Source organism: Homo sapiens, chromosome 6 (genome assembly GCF_000001405.40).
Source record: "Homo sapiens chromosome 6, GRCh38.p14 Primary Assembly".
NCBI classification, from domain to species: domain Eukaryota; kingdom Metazoa; phylum Chordata; class Mammalia; order Primates; family Hominidae; genus Homo; species Homo sapiens.
Window position 1 is genome coordinate 113,533,027 of NC_000006.12, and position 24,277 is coordinate 113,557,303.

General features: G+C 35.7%; 2 long non-coding RNA genes across 2 annotated transcripts in view; one reads left to right on the forward strand and one right to left on the reverse strand.

Moving 5' to 3' along the window:
- The window catches only part of LOC124901379 (uncharacterized), a 68,150-nt gene that overhangs the window by 13,757 nt on the left and 30,116 nt on the right, over positions 1-24,277 (reverse strand). The window lies entirely within an intron of this gene.
- On the forward strand, positions 8,811-12,217 carry LOC124901380 (uncharacterized). The gene is made up of 2 exons (XR_007059714.1): positions 8,811-8,875; positions 10,377-12,217. It is a non-coding gene; the product is annotated as an uncharacterized LOC124901380 (long non-coding RNA).

The following is a 24,277-nucleotide window of genomic DNA, read 5'->3' on the forward strand; positions in this document are numbered from 1 at the left end:
ATGCCAAAATGTAAAGACCATCGAGACTAGGAAGAAACTGCATCAACTAACGAGCAAAATAACCAGCTAACATCATAATGACAGGATCAAATTCACACATAACAATATTAACTTTAAATGTAAATGGACTAAATGCTCCAATTAAAAGACACAGATTGGCAAATTGGATAAAGAGTCAAGACCCATCAGTGTGCTGTATTCAGGAAACCTATCTCACGGGCAGAGACACACATAGGCTCAAAATAAAAGGATGGAGGAAGATCTACCAAGCAAATGGAAAACAAAAAAAGGCAGGGGTTGCAATCCTAGTCTCTGATAAAACAGACTTTAAACCAACAAAGATCAAAAGAGACAAAGAAGGCCATTACATAATGGTAAAGGGATCAATTCAACAAAAAGAGCTAACTATCCTAAATATATATGTACCCAATACAGGAGCACCCAGATTCATAAAGCAAGTCCTGAGTGACCTACAAAGAGACTTAGACTCCCACACATTAATAATGGGAGACTTTAACACCCCACTGTCAACATTAGACAGATCAACGAGACAGAAAGTCAACAAGGATACCCAGGAATTGAACTCAGCTCTGCACCAAGCAGACCTAATAGACAACTACAGAACTCTCCACCCCAAATCAACAGAATATACATTTTTTTCAGCACCACACCACACCTATTCCAAAATTGACCACATACTTGGAAGTAAAGCTCTCCTCAGCAAATGTAAAAGAACAGAGATTATAACAAACTATCTTTCAGACCACAGTGCAATCAAACTAGAACTCAGGATTAAGAATCTCACTCAAAACCGCTCAACTACATGGAAACTGAACAACCTGCTCCTGAATGACTACTGGGTACATAACGAAATGAAGGCAGAAATAAAGATGTTCTTTGAAACCAATGAGAACAAAGACACCACATACCAGAATCTCTGGGACGCATTCAAAGCAGTGTGTAGAGGGAAATTTATAGCACTAAATGCCCACAAGAGAAAGCAGGAAAGATCCAAAATTGACACCCTAACATCACAATTAAAAGAACTAGAAAAGCAAGAGCAAACACATTCTAAAGCTAGCAGAAGGCAAGAAATAACTAAAATCAGAGCAGAACTGAAGGAAATAGAGACACAAAAAACCCTTCAAAAAATTAATGAATCCAGGAGCTGGTTTTTTGAAAGGATCAACAAAATTGGTAGACTGCTAGCAAGACTAATAAAGAAAAAAAGAGAGAAGAATCAAATAGACACAATAAAAAATGATAAAGGGGATATCACCACCCATCCCACAGAAATACAAACTACCATCAGAGACTACTACAAACACCTCTACGCAAATAAACTAGAAAATCTAGAAGAAATGGATAAATTCCTCGATACATACACTCTCCCAAGACTAAACCAGGAAGAAGTTGAATCTCTGAATAGACCAATAATGGGAGGTGAAATTGTGGCAATAATCAATAGTTTACCAACCAAAAAGAGTCCAGGACCAGATGGATTCACAGCCAAATTCTACCAGAGGTACAAGGAGGAACTGGTACCATTCCTTCTGAAACTATTCCAATCAATAGAAAAAGAGGGAATCCTCCCTAACTCATTTTATGAGGCCAGCATCATTCTGTTACCAAAGCCAGGCAGAGACACAACCAAAAAAGAGAATTTTAGACCAATATCCTTGATGAACATTGATGCAAAAATCCTCAATAAAATACTGGCAAAACGAATCCAGCAGCACATCAAAAAGCTTATCCACCATGATCAAGTGGGCTTCATCCCTGGGATGCAAGGCTGGTTCAATATATGCAAATCAATAAATGTAATCCAGCATATAAACAGAGCCAAAGACAAAAACCACATGATTATCTCAATAGATGCAGAAAAAGCCTTTGACAAAATTCAACAACCCTTCATGCTAAAAATTCTCAATAAATTCGGTATTGATGGGACATATTTCAAAATAATAAGAGCTATCTATGACAAACCCACAGCCAATATCATACTGAATGGGCAAAAACTGGAAGCATTCCCTTTGAAAACTGGCACAAGACAGGGATGCCCTCTCTCACCACTCCTATTCAACATAGTGTTGGAAGTTCTGGCCAGGGCAATTAGGTAGGAGAAGGAAATAAAGGGTATTCAATTAGGAAAAGAGGAAGTCAAATTGTCCCTGTTTGCAGACGACATGATTGTATATCTAGAAAACCCCATTGTCTCAGCCCAAAATCTCCTTAAGCTGATAAGCAACTTCAGCAAAATCTCAGGATACAAAATCAATGTACAAAAATCACAAGCATTCTTATACACCAATAACAGACAAACAGAGAGCCAAATCATGAGTGAACTCCCATTCACAATTGCTTCAAAGAGAATAAAATACCTAGGAATCCAACTTACAAGGGATGTGAAGGACCTCTTCAAGGAGAACTACAAACCACTGCTCAAGGAAATAAAAGAGGATACAAACAAACGGAAGAACATTCCATGCTCATGGGTAGGAAGAATCAATATCGTGAAAATGGCCATACTGCCCAAGGTAATTTACAGATTCAATGCCATCCCCATCAAGCTACCAATGACTTTCTTCACAGAATTGGAAAAAACTACTTTAAAGTTCATATGGAACCAAAAAAGAGCCCGCATCGCCAAGTCAATCCTAAGCCAAAAGAACAAAGCTGCAGACATCACACTACCTGACTTCAAACTATACTACAAGGCTACAGTAACCAAAACAGCATGGTACTGGTACCAAAACAGAGATATAGATCAATGGAACAGAACAGAGCACTCAGAAATAACACCGCATATCTACAACTATCTGATCTTTGACAAACCTGAGAAAAACAAGCAATGGGGAAAGGATTCCCTATTTAATAAATGGTGCTGGGAAAACTGGCTAGCCATATGTAGAAAGCTGAAACTGGATCCCTTCCTTACACCTTATACAAAAATCAATTCAAGATGGATTAAGGACTTAAACGTTAGACCTAAAACCATAAAAACCCTAGAAGAAAACCTAGGCATTACCATTCAGGACATAGGCATGGGCAAGGACTTCATGTCCAAAACACCAAAAGCAATGGCAACAAAAGACAAAATTGACAAATGGGATCTAATTAAACTAAAGAGCTTCTGCACAGCAAAAGAAACTACCATCAGAGTGAACAGGCAACCTACAAAATGGGAGAAAATTTTCGCAACCTACTCATCTGACAAAGGGCTAATATCCAGAATCTACAATGAACTCAAACACATTTACAAAAAAAAAACAAACAACCCCATCAAAAAGTGGGCGAAGGACATGAACAGACACTTCTCAAAAGAAGACATTTATGCAGCCAAAAAACACATGAAAAAATGCTCATCATCACTGGCCATCAGAGAAATGCAAATCAAAACCACAATGAGATACCATCTCACACCAGTTAGAATGGCGATCATTAAAAAGTCAGGAAACAACAGGTGCTGGAGAGGATGTGGAGAAATAGGAACACTTTTACACTGTTGGTGGGACTGTAAACTAGTTCAACCATTGTGGAAGTCAGTGTGGCAATTCCTCAGGGATCTAGAACTAGAAATACCATTTGACCCAGCCATCCCATTACTGGGTATATACCCAAAGGACTATAAATCATGCTGCTATAAAGACACATGCACACATATGTTTATTGAGGCAGTATTCACAATAGCAAAGACTTGGAACCAACCCAAATGTCCAACAATGATAGACTGGATTAAGAAAATGTGGCACATATACACCATGGAATATTATGCAGCCATAAAAAATGATGAGTTCATGTCCTTTGTAGGGACATGGATGAAATTGGAAATCATCATTCTCAGTAAACTATTGCAAGAACAAAAAACCAAACACCGCATATACTCACTCATAGGTGGGAATTGAACAATGGCATCACATGGACACAGGAAGGGGAATATCACACTCTGGGGACTGTGGTGGGGTGGGGGGAGGGGGGAGGGATAGCATTGGGAGATATACCTAATGCTAGATGACGAGTTAGTGGGTGCAGCACACCAGCATGGCACATGTATACATATGTAACTAACCTGCACAATGTGCACATGTACCCTAAAACTTAAAGTATAATAAAAAAAAGAAGAAAAATAAAAAGAAAATATACATCCATTCAAAAGAGCAGTTGACACCAGATAAGGCCAAAAAAGAGAGAAACTTTGAGTCCAGTATGAAAAAGATTGTAGATAACCATTCCTTTTTACTTTATTTAAGGAAAGCCAAAATGAATTTGCCTCAGAAAAGCAAATGTTGACAATTTCCTGATGAGAAAAGAAGGGATAGTTGCAATTCTAGTCCTTTACCCTACAGCTTCCCAGCATTGTTTCTGTCTTTGCATTTTATTAGACATTTGTGGTATAAGATACAATGAAGGGAATGGAAATGAGTGTGTGTATGTGTCTGTGTGTGTGTGAATGTGTGTGTGTGTTTACATGTACATACATACATATAGCTGGGGTAGATGTGAGAAGGAGAATAAAAAGGAGAAAGTAGAATAACTTCCACACACAGCCAATTTAAAACATCTTTGCATCGGTTCTTTCGGGGCTAAAGCCCACTTACTCCCCTACCACCCCTACTCTCACCATTTACATATACGTGTGTGTGTGTGTGTGTGTGTGTGTGTGTGTGTGTTTATGCATGTATATACGTGTATATATATATATGTATATATATATTTTATAGAAAGCATGGCAATATGCTACAAAGCTTTGGCTATTATTAATAGAATAGTAAAAGTCATTGAAGAAAGTTATATGTAAACTTAATGCTTATGTACTACTGTAAGCATATACAATGTCAATGTCATTTTTTATTTTGAAACAGAGAAACTCTAACAATTAAGGAAAAATGAGCTTTACAAAATGGCACATACTTTTGTAGTAAATATGACAAGTGCCCTTCACCCCATGATTTTTAGCTCAGCTCTAAAGTCACAGATCATTAGGTAGCAAATGCCATCAGCACTAGGAGGAGAGATCTGAGTGGTAAGGTAGAGTAGCCTGTGGTTATTAAGAAAATGAATGGAGACTGGAACATAGTATTGATTCTTTTGAAACAAAGTAATCTTACAAGACTCTAGGCCGGGCACAGTGGCTCACACCTATAATCCCAGCACTTTGGGAGGCCAAGGCAGGTGGATCATTTGAGGTCAGAACTTCAGGACCAGCCTGGCCAAAACTGTGAAACCCCGTCTCTACTAAAAATACAAAAATTAGTTTGGCATGGTGGCCCACGCCTGTAGTCCCAACTACTCGGGAGGCTAAGGCAGGAGAATCACTAGAACCTGGGAGGCAGACGTTGCAGTGAGCCAAGATTACGCCACTGCACTCCAGCCTAGGCAACACAGCCAGAACGCATCTAAAAAAAAAAAAAGAAAAAGACTCTAGAAATGTTATGTCACCAGCCAAAGTAAAAATGAAATACATAATCACATAAATATTTTCATTTTCCCACAAATAAATGTATCCCCTTCTTTGCTTGTCATGTGTGTAAAAATTAGAGTTGGAAGAAAATTGAGTTTGGTAGAATGTTGTCTCTTTGAAATCAAATTGGGAGAGAGGGATGGGCAAGATTGGACACAACTCAGATCACAAAGAAATATGTTAAGATGATAATTAATTAAATAATGTCCCATAATTATTTGCTTTCTTTAGTTCTCAATGGCCAGGAGAAGTCACGTCTGCAATCACTCATTTCCATCTGCGGCTGACCAGAGCAAATCTGGACTGTTCAACTATTACAATATCTTGCCATATTTTTTATTTTCTGAGGAAGCTGGGAGATTTGGGCTGTGGCAAATAGTTCTCTAATCATTTTGCCTTTAGATGCATGTTAACTTTCAGTAATTTATCTGGCATGAAATGGAACAAAGTTCCAATTCGTTCTGAATTCTACCGTGAAGGGCTGAGGAAAAAGAGAAGTGATAAGTTAGATGCTTTTATAATACACCAAAGCAGTCTTCCCTAGAAAACTTGCCTTAGGGTCTGAAGTACACCTAAGCTTCCCTCTCATCAAGGCAAAGAGCCCTGGGTAAAATCCCAGAGTATTCAGCTTCAGCTCAGGAGCTCATTAACAATAGGAACTCCTTTCCTTGAGAATAAATGATTTGCAAACCAGCGATCACTTTCTCTGTTGTAAATAAGAATCTAAGTCAAAAACAATGATATGCTTTTCTTTTAACTTTCCCATTATCACAAATATAAAGAAATTTCAAAGAGCCCTTACTCCAAGTGTAAGCAAAACAGCAGAGGCTGCAGTTTGCGCCCTAAATCCTCTCTCCAGTGTCTGCCCTCAATCAGTGCTTTCAAATTCCTTTCATGCCACTCTATCTTCCAAACCAACCCCACAAATAAACACACTCTAAGTCTGCCCTTGAATCCTTGTTAACATTTTCTGTGACAATGGCTGATAATCATATTGAGTTATTCCTCCTGTGTCCCCGCATTTTAGAATCAAAACCACACACTAAAGGGTTGACAGTCTACCAGTGTAGTATATCTAGCCAGAGCAAAGACTGTTCCTTGAAACCTGAGGTACAGAAAGACACTTCCTTTTCAATTTTGTTGACTGGGTGGCCTGTTTAATACCATACCAGTTCTGGAAGAGCCCACAAGTCTTACCTTCATTACTAAGAGAAACAAAATAATCTAGAAGAATAATTGGAGTCAAGTTGCTTTTACATCATCCAATGTACCAAATGATTTTAAGATGACATGTAAAGTGACAAATTTATAAAATTTGAAGAGCACAGAATAGGATCACAGAAGTTCTGATGTTAAAAGAACTTGGGGCTGACTCATTCTCTTGTTTCTGGATATAAGCCTAGAAATAAAAGTTGACAATCTTCATTTTCTTCTGCAGTTTTAATTTTGCCCCTTAATAGCTATATTATCTCCTAAAAGTCATTGATTTTTAATTTGTCAAAGTAATTCATACATTTGTTTGCAAAAGCCAAATAGTTCTAAAATGTTATACTTATCATAAAAACCAACATCCACTGCCCCACCTCCCCACACCAGCTCCTGTTTCCTAAAGGGCAAAAGTTTTCGAAAATGTTTAAGCCATTTTGTCTGGTATTTTCCTCTATGTTTCTAACTAATATGTCTAAATAGTTGGCCCTCCATATCTTTGGATTCCATATCTGCAGATTCAACCAACCATGTATCTAAAATATTTGAAGAAAAATGCATCTATACTGAACTTGTGCAGACTTTTTTCTTGGCAATATTCCCTAAACAATACAGTATAACAACTTTTTGCATACTATTACAATGCATTAGGTATTATAAGTAATCTAAAGATGAACTAAAGTATACAGGAGGATGTGCATTGGCTATATGCAAATACTGTACCATTTTATATCAGGGATTTGAGCATCTGCAGATTTGGGTATCCGTGGAAGTTTTAGAACCAGTCTCCAACTGAGGGTTGACTATACATCATCTACTGACTTCCAATTATGGCAGATTTTTTAAAATTTTTCTTACATGAAACCCCTCATACATTAGCATTTAATTTTAATCTCCACCATCCTCCCAGTATATTTATACATCTGTTTTTAGTTAAATTCCTATTTAGAGGTACAGTCATGCATCACTTAATGACAGGAATGCATTCTGAGAAATATATCACTAGACTATTTCATCATTATGTAAACATCATAGAGTGCACTTACACCAACCTAGATGGTATAGCCTGCTACATACCTAGGCTATAGGCTACAGCCTAGTGTCCTAGGCTGCAAACCTATACACCATGTTACTGTACTAAACACTGCAGGCAATTGTAACACAATGGGAAGTATTTGTAACTCTAAACATAGAAAGGGTACAATAAAAATATGGTATTATATTCTTATGGGACCATTGTCATATAAGTTGTCGATCATTGACCAAAACGTCACTATGTGGCACATGACTATACTTCATTATAACTTCATAACTAGCGTAAGTTACTTAGCCACATAGTATAGTATGATTATGTTTCCATTCCCATAGTACTTCTATTATTTCTTGAAGTTAATAGTTGTCTAAATTCTGCCGGGCATGGTTACTCATGTCTGTAATCCCAGTACTTTGGTAGGCTGAGCCGGGCGGATCACGTTAGGCTAATTGTTTGAAATCAGCCTGGCCAACATAGTAAAACCCTGTCTCTATTAAAAATACAAAAATTAGCTGGGTGCGGTGGCCGACACCTGTAAACCCAGCTACTTGGGAGGCTGAGACACGAGAATAGCTTAAACCCAGGAGGTGGAGGTTGCAGGGAGCTGAGATTGAACCACTGCACTCCAGCCTGGGCTACAGAGCAAGACTCTGTCTCAAAAATAAATTAATTAATTAATTGTCCAAATTTTTAATTTACTTAGGCTTCTAAATACCTACGCCTAGTTTTTCTCAAACGTTGAAACACAACATGTATGAAAATGTTTCATAATACTATTTTCCACATGGCCAAATGCAACAGATAGTCTCCTAGTTCTGTATTTTTTTTTCCTGGGAACATCTCTCTCTGTTAAGTCCTCTATCACTCCCTCTCTAATCTAAACTGGCTGCTCTTTTAGGCCTGCTGCATAGCTTTTTTTGTTGCTCAGAAACATCTCTTTACCCTCCTGTGATGGCTCACTCTCCTGTTTCCACGATCCTGCAGCTTCATCTTTCTTAATTTCTTTCTTATCTTGATGGGACACATCTATTGGTGACTTCCTCAAAATAACTGAATGAAAGACAAAATTTTGATAACTGTTCACCAAAATTTGTACTTCTCTTTCTACAGTTTGGAGTTGTTGCTACCTGTGTCTACCCAGCCAAGGACTTTATGCCTCAGGCCTTCATATTCAGGTAAATCCACACAACCAGTTCTTCACAACAGAGATATGAGCAGAATTGATGGTGATGCTCTGGGCTGGAGCCTATAAGAAGCACGTGGGCCTGTCCATCTTTTTTCCCTTTTGCTGGAAAGGAAGGCATGTATTGCAGTTGGGGACTCCATCAGTCTGGGTCCCTGAGTGATTATGTGGCTCAGAGCCCTCACCAACTCTCCATTGTATTGAACTATTGAGTGAGAAATAAACTTCTATTGTCTTCGGCCACTGAATTAAGGGATTGCCATTACCTTAACTTGATTAATAATTTGACTGGGTGGAAAATCCCAGGTTAAAAATTCTCAGAATTTTAAAAGCATTTTTTCCCAATGTTGCTTTCTGCTTCCAGTTGCTGTTAAAAATTATCCTTCCATTTCTATTTTTCCTTACCTATTTTGTTATTGTTTTGTTATGCATGGGTGATCTCACTCTCTCTGCTTTTAATTTGGTCTCATTAGTCTGGGAGGGACAACTTTGCAATAGCTGAGTGTAGGATTTCGTGTGATTCTCTTGGCTTTGGGCTGGGTAGCAAGTCCTTTCAGCCTACAGACTCAGGTTCTTTCTTTATGGGGAATTTTATCAACTTATTTCTTGGAAAACACCTTTATATCTTTTCTCTTTCTTCTTACCTTCTAGAACTCTAGATGTGAGGTATCCTTGATAAATCATATAAATTTATTTGCCTTTAATCCTGCCTTCTGGGAAATTGCAACAAACCCACATTCTAAACCTCACATTAAATTTTTTCAGGATTGTATTTTCAATATCTACAAGTTATTTTCTGTTCTCTAATTGCTGATTTTATTCCATCCTGTTCTTCCTTCCTACATGCTCATTCCCCCCAAAGATATTATGGTTTCTTTAGAATTTTTCTTACTAAACACATTTCTGTAGAATTCCTAAATTTGCAAGCATACCCAAGTAAACCTCCTCTCATTAAATCATTTTTCATAACATTTTATTCTGCTTTCTAGTTTTTCCTGTCTCCTCATCTTACAGTATCATGTGATAGATTTAGGCTCAGAGGACAATAGTACAAGTGGCTCTCATTTATAATTTATTCTCATGACATTAAAAATATTATTTTAAAGTATGTATCCATTATATTGAATACTGATTTATGATTTTAAGGAATGTAGTTATCTGGTCTAGCCTTTGAAAAGGGATCTCAAAAATGTTTTATTTATGATAGACATGTTCTCAAAGGGTCATTCCACTGTCAATATTTATCAGGTGGTAACACTCTGGACAATAGTAATAATAACCTTTGAATGTTAGATATTAAAAACCAAAAATAGTACGTAAGCAGTCCTAAAACAGAGGGAAAAGGAAATAATACACCATTTCTCAGTCATAGATGTAATGTTGGATACTATTGAAAACTTTCTAACTCTCCTTAAAAGAAGTAACCTCCATTTTTTGCCTAACTTATTTCAAGCACAATTTTAAAAATAATATTTCTCTGATTACAAAAACAGGACATGTTTCTCATGAAAATTTTGGAAATGTGAAATTACAGAAAAGCCCAAAGGAAAACAATGAAAATCTCTTGCAACTACAGTACTTAGAAAAATGCCTATTATCATTTTGTTTTATATCCCTGCTGTCTTTATATGTACAACTTGCATTTTGCAAGAGTTTAGAAAGTTGTAACCTTATTTTTTAAATCAGTGCATAACTAATATTTTTTATGCTATTAAAATATTATTTTAAGATGTAATATCTAATCACATGTCTGCATCATAATCTACTTAATCTCCCCTTGTTCACAATTAAGTAGTTTCCAATTTTTCACTATCAAAGTAATGCTACAACAAGAAGGATATCCTGGTATATAAATAATTTTACACAACACAGTTATTTCCTTGACATAAATACCTAGAATAGAATTAGTCAAACATAAGAAATTAATATTTAATACCTCCGATACATCCTGCCATGCTGCCCACAAAAAGACCATACCAAGTTACACCACCACCGAAAATGTGTTAAAGGATCAGTTTGCTCAAAACTTAAATAAAATAGAGTAAGTTATTTTATATCTACACATTTAATGAGTTGAAATGTATCCTCTGCATTACTTTCACATGTACTTCTGCCAATTAATATAAAATTCATGTGTGCAAAAATTAAATAATAGAGTAACACATCATTACAGATTCCAAAAAAAGCAAAAAATATTTACTAATTGCACAATTACTAATTGTAAGTCACTTTTTTGGACATCTTCCTAAATAGTATGTCTTTTCTTTATAATATAATGTCTTTATTAAGGGTACACTGAATTTGACAGTTTGGCCTAAGTGTGACAAACAACTAATTGAGACTAAAATACTATGAAGGCTCTCAAAATGACAAATGATTTCCATCTGTGTCTCCATTGTTTCAAATTTGATTCATATATTGCTTATCAGTAACATAAGTAATTCTTATTTTTTTCATTTCTACTCACTTTTGTGAAATGAAAAGGACAAAATATGATGAAACATTCAAATAATTTCATATACATTACTATGTTGAGAGAGATAGAAGCACTGCTGAAACTGAAATACATATTGGCAGACTAGCAGCACCAACCTACCACATTTAAAAATATTATTTTACCATGTGAATGTTCACATTAAATATAATAAAGATAATTTAGGAATATCAATGTCATGCCTAGTCAAGTATATGAAAGCCATATAATCTCATTGATGCTTTATTTCTCATATCTTTGATTGCTAGCAATGGTGAGCCCATTTCCATAAGTGTTTTGGCCACTGAGGTTCTTTGTGAATTTTCAATTCATGTATTTTGTCTGTATTATGTTGGAATGTGCATAATTTGTTTATTGAGTTATAAATGCTACTTACATATTCAGAATATAAAAACCATTATAGTTGATGTGAATAAAAATACCTAGTTGGCTAAATGTCTTTAGGTTTTATGTTGTTTTTTTTATAATGGATCTGCAGACATTTTTAATTTTCATGTATATATTCAAATATCTTGATATGATTTGGCTCTGTGTCCCCGCCCAAATCTCATGTCAAATTGTTAGACCTGGTGGAAAGTGATTGGATCATGGGGATGGTTTCTAATGACTTAGCATCATCCCCTTAATGCTGTCTCATGATAGAATTCTCGCAAGATCTGGTTGTTTAAAAGCGTGCGGCACCTCCCCTTCTCGCTCTCTTCATCTTGCTCCAGTCATGTAAGATGCACCTGCTTCCTTTTTGCCTTCTGCCATGATTGTAAGTCTCCTGAGGCTTCCCCAGTCATGCTTCTTGTACACCTCATGGAACCGTGAGCCAATTAAACCTCTTTTCTTTATAAATTTCACAGTCTCTGGCATTTCTTTATAGCAATGTGAGAATGGACTAATACATACCTCAATGCTGTCTTCAAGACTTTTCTTTGACTCATTACTTAGAAGATGGCCCTAAGTCACATATAATGGATGTCCCACTTGACTATTAACAGATTTCTCAGTAGAAACCTTGCATGCCAAGAGAGAATGGGATAATATATTCAAAATGCTGAAAGAAAGAACTTGCCATTCAAGAATATTATGCCCAGCAAAGATATTCTTCAGAAATGAGGGAGAAATAAAGTTCCAAACAAGCAAAAGCTGAGAGAATTCATCAACCTTAAACCAGCCTTAAAAGAAATCCTTAAGTGCTTCAACCGGAACCATAAGGATGTTAATTAGTACCGTGAAATCATATGAAACTATAAAAACTCACTGGTAGAGGTAAACTCATAATCAAATTCAGAATACTTCATTACTGTAATAGCAGTATATAATCTTCAAATCTCTAGAATGAAGGTTAAAAGTCAGTATGGTTAATGATAACCATAGGTACAATAAGTTAAGAAATACACAACATAAAGATATATTAACTAAGGCAACAAAATTACAAATTGGTAGAAGAATAAAAGTCTGGTATATTTATATGTGACCAAAGTTAAGTTGTTATCAGCTTAAAGTAGACTTTTATGGCTCTAAGATTGTTTTGTGATTCCCAGAGTAACCATAAAGAAAAAAAAAAAACTATAGCAGATACATAAATGAGAACGAGAAAAAAATCAAAACTTTTCACTATAGAAAATCACCAAATTACAAAGATAAACAAGAGAGAAAGAAATAAACAAAAAGACTTATAAAGTAACCAGGAAATAATTAACAGAATAGCAGAAGCAAACCCTTACCTATTAATAATAACCTTGAATATAAATGGATGAAATTCTACAATTAAAAGATATAGACTGGGCCGGGCATGGTCACTCACACCTGTAATCCCAGCACTTTGGGAGGCCAAGGCGGGTGGATCTCCTGAGGTCAGGAGTTCGAGACCAGCCTGGCCAACATGGCGAAACCCTGTTCTACTAAAAGTACAAAAATTAGCCAGCCGTGGTGGCAGATGCCTGTAAACCCAGTTACTCAGGAAGCTGAGGCATGAAAATCGCTTGAATCCGGGAGGCAGAGGTTGTAGTGAGCTGAGATTTTGCCACTGCATTCCAGCCTGGGCGACAAGAGCAAGACTCCATCTCCAGGGGAAAAAAAAAAAAAAAAAAGAGATATAGAGCGGCTGAATTTTAAAAAAATCAAGACCTGACTATATGCAGTCTACAGGAGGCTTACTTCATCTCTAAGGACACACATAGACTGAAAGTAAAGGAATGGAAAATGATTTTCCATATAAATGGAAACCAAAAGACAGCAGACGTAGCTATACTTACATCTGATATAACAGACATTAAGTAAAAAGAACTACAAAAGGAGACAAAGATGGAGAAGATCATTATATAATGATAAAGGAGTCAATTCAGCAGGAGGATATAACAATTATAAATATATATGCACTCAACAAGACAGCACCAAACATATAAAGCAAATATTATTAGATCTAAAGGGAGAGATAGACTGCCATACAAAAACAGTAGGGGTTTTCAACGCCTTACTTTCAGCAATGGCCAGATCATTTAGACAGAAAATCAACAAGGAAGCATCAGATTTAAACTTCACTGTAGATTAAATGGACCTGAGACATTCACTGAGTATTCCACTAAAGAGCTGCACAATACACATTCTTCTTATCAGCACATGCTACTTTCTCCAGGACAGATAATATATTAGGCCATAAAAAAGTCTCAACAAATTTTTAAAAATCAAAATCATGTAAAGCATCTTTTCCGACCCATATGGAATAAAACTAGGAGTCAATAACAGGAAGAACTTTGGAAACTACACAAATATATGGAAATTAAACAACATACTCCTGGATGACAAATGAGTCAATAAAGAAATTTAAAAGGAAATTTAAATATTTCTTGAGATAAAAAATAGAAATGAAATATACCAAAACCTACAGGATACTGAAAAAAGGCAGTTATAAAAGGGAAGTTTTCAGTGAATTTCTGAATCAAAATTCCTGAATCAAAAAAATTAGAAAGATCTCAAACAACCTAATGTTGCATCAAAAAAAAAATTAGAAAAACAAGAAAAACACTAAACTCAAAAGTGGTAGAAAAAAAGAAATAATAAAGATCAAAGCATAAATTAGAGACTAAAAATACAAAATATCAACAAAACCGAGTTTTGCTGAAAAATAAACAAAATTAACAAACCTTTCACTAGACTAAGAAAAAAAAGAGAGAAGATTCAAATAAATAAAACCAGAGATTAAAAAAAGAACATATTACAATTGATTCCACAGAAATACAAAGGATCACAAGAGACTATGAGAAACAACTATATGGCAACAAATTAGAAAACCTAGAAGAAATGGATATATTCTTGGACACACACAACCTACCAAAATCAAATCATAAAAAAATAGAAAATCTGAACAGACCAATAGCAACAATATTAAATCAGTAATGAAAGACGCTCATCAAAGAAAAGCCCAGTACTTGAATACTTAGCTGTTGCAAATGATTCCAAAAAATTAAAGAGGAGGAAATTTTTCCAAACTCCCTCCATGAGGCCAGCTTCACCCTGATAAAAACAAAAAAAAATAACAGACAAGGACACAACAACAAAAAAAAGAAAACCTCAGGCCAATATCGCTGATGAACATAGATGCAAATAGTTCTCAACAAAATACTTGCAAACTAAATTTAACAGTACATAAAAAAGTTTTTTGCAATGATCAAGTGGAATTCATCCATAAGGATACAAGGATGGTTCAGCACATGCAAATTAGTAAACAAAATACATCACATTAACAGAATCAAAGACAAAAACCAAATGATCAATTGAATAGATGCAGAAAAGACATTTAATAAAATTCAACATTACTTCATAATAAAAACTCTCAACAAATTAGGTGTAGAAGGAACCTATCTCAACACAATAAAAGCTGGATATGACAAACCACAGCTAACATCATACTGAATGGGAAAAGGTTGAACACTTTTCCTCTGAAATCTGGAACAAGACAAGGATGCCCCCTTTCACCACTTTTATTCAACATAGTACTGGAAGGCCTAGCCAAAGCAAGAGAGAAATAGAGGGCATTCAAATTGGGGAGGAGGAAATCAAATTTTCCCTGGTTGAAGATGACATGATCTTATATACAGAAAAAAACCTAAAGCTTCCACCAAAAAAACTGTTAGAACTAATAAGTGAATTCAGTAGAGTTACAAGATACCAGTCGACACACAAAATCAGTAGTATTTCTATACCCTAATAGTGAACCTGAAAAAGAACTAAAAAAGCAATCCCCTTTACAATTGCTACCAAAAAAATAAAATGTCTAGTAGTAAATTTAACCAAAGAGAAGAAAGATCTTTTCAATAAAAGTTATAAAACTTTGATAAAATGAATTGAAGATACTATGAATAAATGGGAAGATGGTCTTTGTTTATGGATTGGGATAATTAATATTGTTAAAATGTTCATACTACCCAAAGCAATCTACAGATTTAATGCAATACCTATGAAAATGCTAAGAACATTCTTTACCAAAATAGGAAAAAAAAATCCTAAAATTTGTATGTAAACACAAAAGATCCCAAATAGCCAAAGCAATTTTGAGTGAAAAGAGCAAAGTGAGAGACATCACACTACCAGACATCAAAATATACTACAAAGCAGAAATGTAAACAAAACAGAATGGCATTGACATAAGAATAGATATGTAAACCAATGGAGCAGAATATAGAACACAGAAATAAATTCACACACAGCCAATTGATTTTTAACAAAGGTGCTAGGAACACACATTGGGGAAAGGACAGTCTTTAAATGGTGGTGGGAAAACTGGATATCCATATGCAGAAGAATAAAACTAAACCCCTATCTTTTACCATTTAGAAAAATCAACTCAAAATGGATTAAGGACTTACATGTAAGCCTCAAAACTATAAAACTTCTAGAAGAAAATATGAGAAAATGTGTCATGACATTGATCTGGGCAATAATTTTTTGGATAAGAACTCAAAATCACTGACAACAAAAGCAAAAACGGACAAGTGAGATTATATCCAACTAAAAAGTTTCTGCACAACAAAGGAAACAATAAACAAGTAGAGGAATAATCTAAAGAATTAGAGAAATATTGGTACACTATGGATCTAACAAGGGGTTAATATCCTGAATACATAAGGAACTCAAAATCTCAACAGCAAAAAAAAAAATAATATGATTTTTTAAATAATTAAAAGACCTGAATAGACATTTCTCCAAAGAATACATACAAATGGCAAAGAATATTTTTGTAAATGCTCAACATCACTAATCAGGGAAATGCAAATCAAAACCACAATGAGGCGTTATTTCTGACAACTATCTGATCTTTGACAAACCTGAGAAAAACAAGCAATGGGGAAAGGATTCCCCATTTAATAAATGGTGCTGGGAAAACTGGCTAGCCATATGTAGAAAGCTGAAATTGGATCCCTTCCTTACACCTTATACAAAAATCAATTCAAGATGGATTAAAGACTTAAACGTTAGACCTAAAACCATAAAAACCCTAGAAGAAAACCTAGGCATTACCATTCAGGACATAGGCATGGGCAAGGACTTCATGTCTAAAACACCAAAAGCAATGGCAACAAAAGACAAAATTGACAAATGGGATCTAATTAAACTAAAGAGCTTCTGCACAGCAAAAGAAACTACCATCAGAGTGAACAGGCAACCTACAAAATGGGAGAAAATTTTCGCAACCTACTCATCTGACAAAGGGCTAATATCCAGAATCTACGATGAACTCAAACACATTTACAAGAAAAAAACAAACAACCCCATCAAAAAGTGAGCGAAGGACATGAACAGACACTTCTCAAAAGAAGACATTTATACAGCCAAAAAACACATGAAAAAATGCTCACCATCACTGGCCATCAGAGAAATGCAAATCAAAACCACAATGAGAATTCTAACACCAGTTAGAATGGCGATCATTAAAAAGTCAGGAAACAACAGGTGCTGGAGAGGATGTAGAGAAATAGGAACACTTTTACACTGTTGGTGGGACTGTAAACTAGTTCAACCATTGTGGAAGTCAGTGTGGCAATTCCTCAGGGATCTGGAACTAGAAATACCATTTGACCCAGCCATCCCATTACTGGGTATATACCCAAAGGACTATAAATCATGCTGCTATAAAGACACATGCACACATATGTTTATTGTGGCACTATTCACAATAGCAAAGACTTGGAACCAACCCAAATGTCCAACAATGATAGACTGGATTAAGAAAATGTGGCACATATACACCATGGAATATTATGCAGCCATAAAAAATGATGAGTTCATGTCCTTTGTAGGGACATGGATGAAATTGGAAATCATCATTCTCAGTAAACTATTGCAAGAACAAAAATCCAAACACCGCATATTCTCACTCATAGGTGGGAATTGAACAATGAGATCACATGGACACAGGAAGGGGAACATCACACTCTGGGGACTGTTGCGGGGTGTGGGGAGGGGGGAGGAAATATACCTAATGCTAAATGACAAGTTAATGGGTGCAGCACACCAGAATGGCACATGTATACATATATAACTAACCTGCACATTGTGCACATGTACCCTAAAACTTAAAGTATAATAATAATAAAATAAAAAAAATAAAATAAAAAATAAAAACCACAACGAGGTAACACCTCAGCCCAATTAGAATGGTTATTATCAAAAAGACAAAAATAACAAGTCTTACATGGGTATAGAGAGATGGGAACTCTTACACACCATTGGTGGGAATACAAACTAGTATAGCCATTATGGAAATGGTATAGAGGTTCCTCAGAATATTAAAGATAGAACTACTGTGTAATCCAGCAATCCCATTACTGGGTATGTTTCCAAAGGAAATGCAATCAGTATGTTGAAGAGCTATCTGTAGCCCCAGGTTCTTTGCAGGACTAGTCACAATAGCCAAGATATGGAATCAACCTAAGTGTCCATCAACAGATGAATGGATAAAGAAAATGTGGTATATATACACAATGGAATACTATACAGCCATAAAAAATTGAAATCCTGTCATTTGTGCAATGTAGATGAACCTAGAGGACACAATGTTAGGTAAAATAAACCAGGCACAGAAAGACAGATAGAGCATGATCTCACTCACTTGTGGAAACTAAAAAAGTTGATCTCATAGAAATACTGTACCGAGTAGAGTAACGGCTACCAGAGGCTGGGGAGGCTATGTGTGTGTTGAGGGGGATTGGTTAACAGTACAAAATTGTAATTAGATAAGAGAAATAATTTCTGGTGTTCTTTTGCACAGTAGGATAACTAGAGCTAAGAATATTGTATTGTATATTTCAAAAAACTAAAAGAGAAGGTTTTGAATGTCCTTACCACAAGGAAATAGTAAATGTTTCAGATGATGGATATGCTAAATAGCCTGATTTAATCATTCCAATGTATTTATGTATCAAAACATCACATTGTACCACATAAATAAGTACAATTATATTATGTCAATTAAAAATAAGCAAAAAAGATGATCATTTTGATCTACCTCTATTTTCTTCAAGTTCTTTTTTGGAGTGTGGGAGATAGGGTTGTTCTTTGATTACATTTAAGTAATCAGACTGCCACTGATCTTATGGCTTAGTTTAAGGTAGGGATCTAACATTATTCTATTCCAAATTGTAACAAATTGGTCCAGCATCATTTTTAACTCATTGATTTTTTTTCTCCTAAATTGAAATGCAGTCTTAGTCTGGATGCAGTGGCTAACACCTATAATCCCAGCACTTTGGGAGGGCAAGGTGGGAGGATTGCTTGAGCCTAGGAGGCCATGACCAGCCTAGGCAACATAGTGAAACCCCATCTCTACAAAAATTAAAAAATATTTTTTTAAAGTTAGCTGGGTGTGGTGGTGCACAACTGTGGTCCCAGGTACTTGGGAGGCTGAGGTGAGAGATTGCTTGAGCCCAGGAGGTTGAAGCTGCAGTGAGCCATGATCATACCACCGCATTCCAGTCTGGGTAACAGAGTGAGACCCTGTCTCAAAAAAAAAAAAAAAGCAATCTTATTTTTATGCTAAGTACTTACATATACTTAAGCCTGTTCCTGTTTCTTCATCTTTTACTCTGTAGGATTTCTACTCCTTTGAATTTTCTATTTTTTGCACATACACAACAATTGGAATTATTTTCACTGTTTAACATATTTTCATAGTCAATAATCTAAATGTCCCTCCCTTCATTATCTGTTTCATAATTGTATTATGTAAGTTATTTGGATTTTTTTCACATAAACATTTTAGTCATTTTGCAGAAGTTTTTAAAAATTTGCTGGATTTTTATTAGAGTTCCATTAAAATTGTAAATTAATTTAGAAAAATTGGCTAGGCAAAGTGGCTTATGCCTATAATCCCAGCCCTGTAGGAGGCCAACGCAGGAGGATTGCTTGAGCCGAGGAGTTCAAGACCAGCCTGGGCAACATAGCAAGATCTCATCTCTACAAAACAAAATGAAATTAGCTGGGCATGATGGCATGTGCCTGTAGTCCCAGCTACTTGGGAGGCTGAAGCTGGAGGATTGCTCAAGTCAAGGAGTTTGAGGCCACAGTGAGTCGTGATCATATCTCTGCACTCCAGCCCGGGCAACAGAGGAAGACTTTGTCTCCAAATTTAAAAAATAAATTTAGGAAAATTTATGTATTTGCAATGTTAATTTTTTTCATCTAAGGTCATGCTATTAATAGAAAGTTCCATTAGTTTGTGTTTATAGTGCTCAGTAAAATTGTATGGTTTTCCCCGCTAAGTTCCTCTACAGCTTTAACAAATATACTTGCTAAGTTTGTTATTTCCCATTTTGGGGTGACTAATCTTCCCACTTTACCCAAAACTGTGAGACTTCCCGGGACACAGGACTCTTAATACTGAAACTGGGATGGGCGGTCACCCTATATCATAACATGGAACTGGCTGTGGCTGATACATAGGAAAATTAATTACTTATACATACATTATTTTCATTTATTTATTTATTTTTATTTTTTTGTTGGAGTCTCGCTCTGTCACCCAGGCTGGAGTGCAGTGGTGCAATCTTGGCTCACTGCAACTTCCGTCTCCCAGGTTCAAGTGATTCTTCTGACTCAACCTCCTAAGTAGCTGGGATTACAGGTACCTGCCACCACACCCAGCTAATTTTTGTATTTTTAGTAAAGATAGGTTTTCACCATGTTGGCCAGGCTGGTTTTGAACTCCTGACCTCAAGTGATCCACCCGCCTCAGCCTCCCAAATTGTTGGGATTACAGGCATGAGCCACCGCACCTGGCCTGCATATATTATTTTCTTCCAGGCCACTAAACTCTTTTCATTTTGAATAGACTGTCAGTTGAATTTATTGAGATTTTGGGGATTTTATATAAAAATCATGATAATTCCAATATTTATAGCTGCTTTTTTGTCTTGCCTTACTGTGTGGGTCATTATGTCCCAAATAATGTTAAATAGTAATAAGAGATACTGCATATTCATTGGACACTGGCTTGATAGACTTACTCATCAAGTTACAGAAATATTCTTCCATAATTTTTTTAAGACTTTGTGGTGGTTGCTCTTTTTGTTTGTTCTTAAATTAAACATGAATGTTTTAACTTTATTTTAAAAAAAAATGGAACTTTCTATTTCAGTGATCTTATTGAGGAAAAAGAAGGAAAATTCTCCATTGGTGGTTTTAGCCAATCAACTGCAGAGCTTTCCCAAACTAGACTATATTCTCATATACATGAGAATCTGCTGAATCCCACTCTCTCTTCCTTTCTGAAGGTTGGAGGGGTGATGTGGATTGCCCCTATTTTAGAATCACTGATTGTGTAAGCCAATTTTCTAATAAAATGTGTTATCTCCTAGGGTAATAAAGTTCAACTGAGAAAACAAAAACAATTGACAACCACTGAGTAGAGAATACTATACATTTTTTTCTCTTTTTATCTATAGAAGTGATAAAAATGTATTGATAGTATTTCTAATATTAAACCTTCCTTGTATTGCTGAAATATGCTAGACATTTTTTTTTTAATTTATTTGAGCATGAGCTCTCTCTGCTCTTACTGCCCAGGCAGGAGTGCAGTGGCGTGATCTCGGCTCATACTGCCCAGGCAGGAGTGCAGTGGCGTGATCTCGGCTCGTGGCAACCTCTGTCTCCCAGATTCAAGTGATTCTCCAGCCTCAGCCTCCCAAGTAGCTGGGATTACAGGCGCCTGCCACCATGTCCAGCTAATTTTTGTATTTTTAGTAGAGACAGGGTTTCACCATTTTGGCCAGGCTGGTCTCAAACTCCTGACCTCAGGTGATCTATCTGGCTCAGCCTCCCAAATTGCTGGGATTACAGGCGTGAGCCACTGCACCTGGCCCAGACATCTCTGAATACAGTATCAGAGAGAGGTTTCAAAACTTTTGATATCTCTATTTATAAATGAGAACCTATTATAGATTTCTATGCCATTTGGGGGCAGATTTTCATTTGGTTAACATCATTAACTTTGAAAGTGAATTAGAAATTTTTACACATTTTTCCCCTGCTCTGAAATATTATACATTGTGAGAATCAATTATTCCTTGAAGGTTTATAGAAACTCATCCATGAAAGTATCAAGCCATGCTTTTCTGGAGCTGATTTATCAACAACTTTTAGTGGATTTTTTTTTAAATAATTATTGGACTACTTATATTTTTTCTTAAGTCAATGTCATTAAATTATATTTTTCTAGACATTTATTTACTGCATTAAAAGTTTGGAATGCAGAAATATAAACATAATTTTAATCTCCCTTGTATCTATAGTTATGTTTATTTTCACATTTTTATTTTGTGTTTTTTCCTTCCTTTCTTGATTAGATTAGCTAAAGGTTTGTCACTTTTTTGGTGTTATTACTGTTTGCTTTGTTTTGTTCTAAAAAATTGTGCTTGGGTCTTTCTTCTATTGCCACCTGTTTTCTGGAGAATCCTAGAACATTATCTCTTCTGGAGAATCCTAGGACATTACCTCTTCATTGCTTCTGCCACATTCTTTTATTTTATTTATTTTTATTTTTTATTTTTGAGACTCCAGGTGCACATATCTGAAACCTTGTCACCGTAACACATTGGTCTCTGATGGTTGTTTATGTATTTTGTCTTTTTGCCTCTTGATACATTGGTCTGGATATCTGAATATTTTCTTATTACCTATCTTCCAGTTCATGAATTCTGTTTTAGTAAAATCAATCTATTCAGTTCTTACTTGTAATTATTACATTTTTTAGTTATAAAATTTCCTTTTAATATAGTTATATTTTCTGGTTCTCTGCTGAAATTATCCATCTTTTACTAAATTAACCACAGATATTTTAATATCCATGCCTGATAACTCCAATATCTGGATTTCCTATGTGTTTGATTTTATTTGCCTGTTTCAAATTTTTTTCTCTTAGTTTTTGTCAAAATGACAGACTAATTTTTAATGTAATGTGGGACATTATATATTAAAAAATAATTTGAAGTTCTCGATGGTTTTGTCTCTTCCACAGAGGATCAACTTTTCTCTGGCAATGAAGTAAGCCAAAGGTATATCTTTTTGATCCATTTTATTAAAGTTGATTGAGCTGACTCAAAACTGGGATTTGTTTCTTTTTTTTTTTTCTTTTGAGAGCTGGATAATTAGCCCACACTCCTAAGATAACTTTTTTCAGTCTCAGCTGAAAGCCCTGGGTATTTACCAGGGCAATGCCTCTTTAGTGGGCTCTGTACTCTAGTTTGGGTCATCCCCAGCTTCATAAGACCGACCCAAACTCTGCTCAACTCCTTACCCTCTCAACCACAACTTTCTGCAAACCTTCTTGGCCTCTCAGCCTTCACCCATCCTTCTAACCTGCAAATAACTTAAGATGAAAAGTGATGGTAAAGGTAGGGTTCATCTCTCTGTGCTCTCTTTTCCAGGATCTTGACTCTCAAGTCCTTGCTACTTTGGTAGCTCTTCAGTGCCTTCAAACAGATTTTGTTGTTATTGTTGCTGTTGTTCAGCTTATTTTGTCTTTCTCAGTGTGTAGAGTGGGTTTGAAAGTAAATAGTCTAACATGATCACAAAATGAAAAAGTCTATTCTCTTTTCTAAATAATTTTTGCTTTTGGCTTTATTAACTCCTTTGTTCTACTTTTCTTTGGTTTGTTTTATTATAGGTTTTTTTTTTTTTTTTTGCTTCCTTGGTTGAGTATTTAATCCGATTCTGATGCTTTCTCTTCTTTATCACTTCAAACATTGCTTTTCATGTAAATTCATTTTGAACTCATTTAACAACTGTCCGCGAGTGGTAACCAGCAAGATCATAGAACCTGATGTGGTTCTACCCCAAAACTTATACAACAAATATTTGATGATTTTCTATCTGGTATCCATTATCTACTTTCTACATTTTAGTAACACTCAAGATTTGGTTCAAGTATCTGCTATTGCCCCTTTGGCTAAATTACTTTGAGGGAAACTGATCCTACCTCCATCTCCAATTTTAGGCTGTGGATTGGTTTAAATCTAATTACACATTTCATTCTCTTGGCCACAATAATTGGGTTAGCTGTCCAGATATGATCTAATCAAATTCAGGCACAGTAATCTCAAGAGTCTTTCTTGGAATCCTAAGCTAGGAATACTCTTATTCTTTCCTATGTAAGAGTGAGAAGCATCATACCCTGTTTTCTCCTGGTGTTTATCTTGCAACCATGAGAGAAGCCTGGCAGGGACTAACATGATACATGCATAGAATTGGACAGAGCTGAAAAAGCCATACAGCAATTGACCTGGAACCCTAATTAAACCATGCTGGAAGCCCACCCACCAGCTGGACTTTCAAGTTACTGAGCCAATAAATTCCCTTTATTATTTAAGCCACTTTAGATTTAATTGACTTTTCTTTCACTCACAGCCAAATGCATTC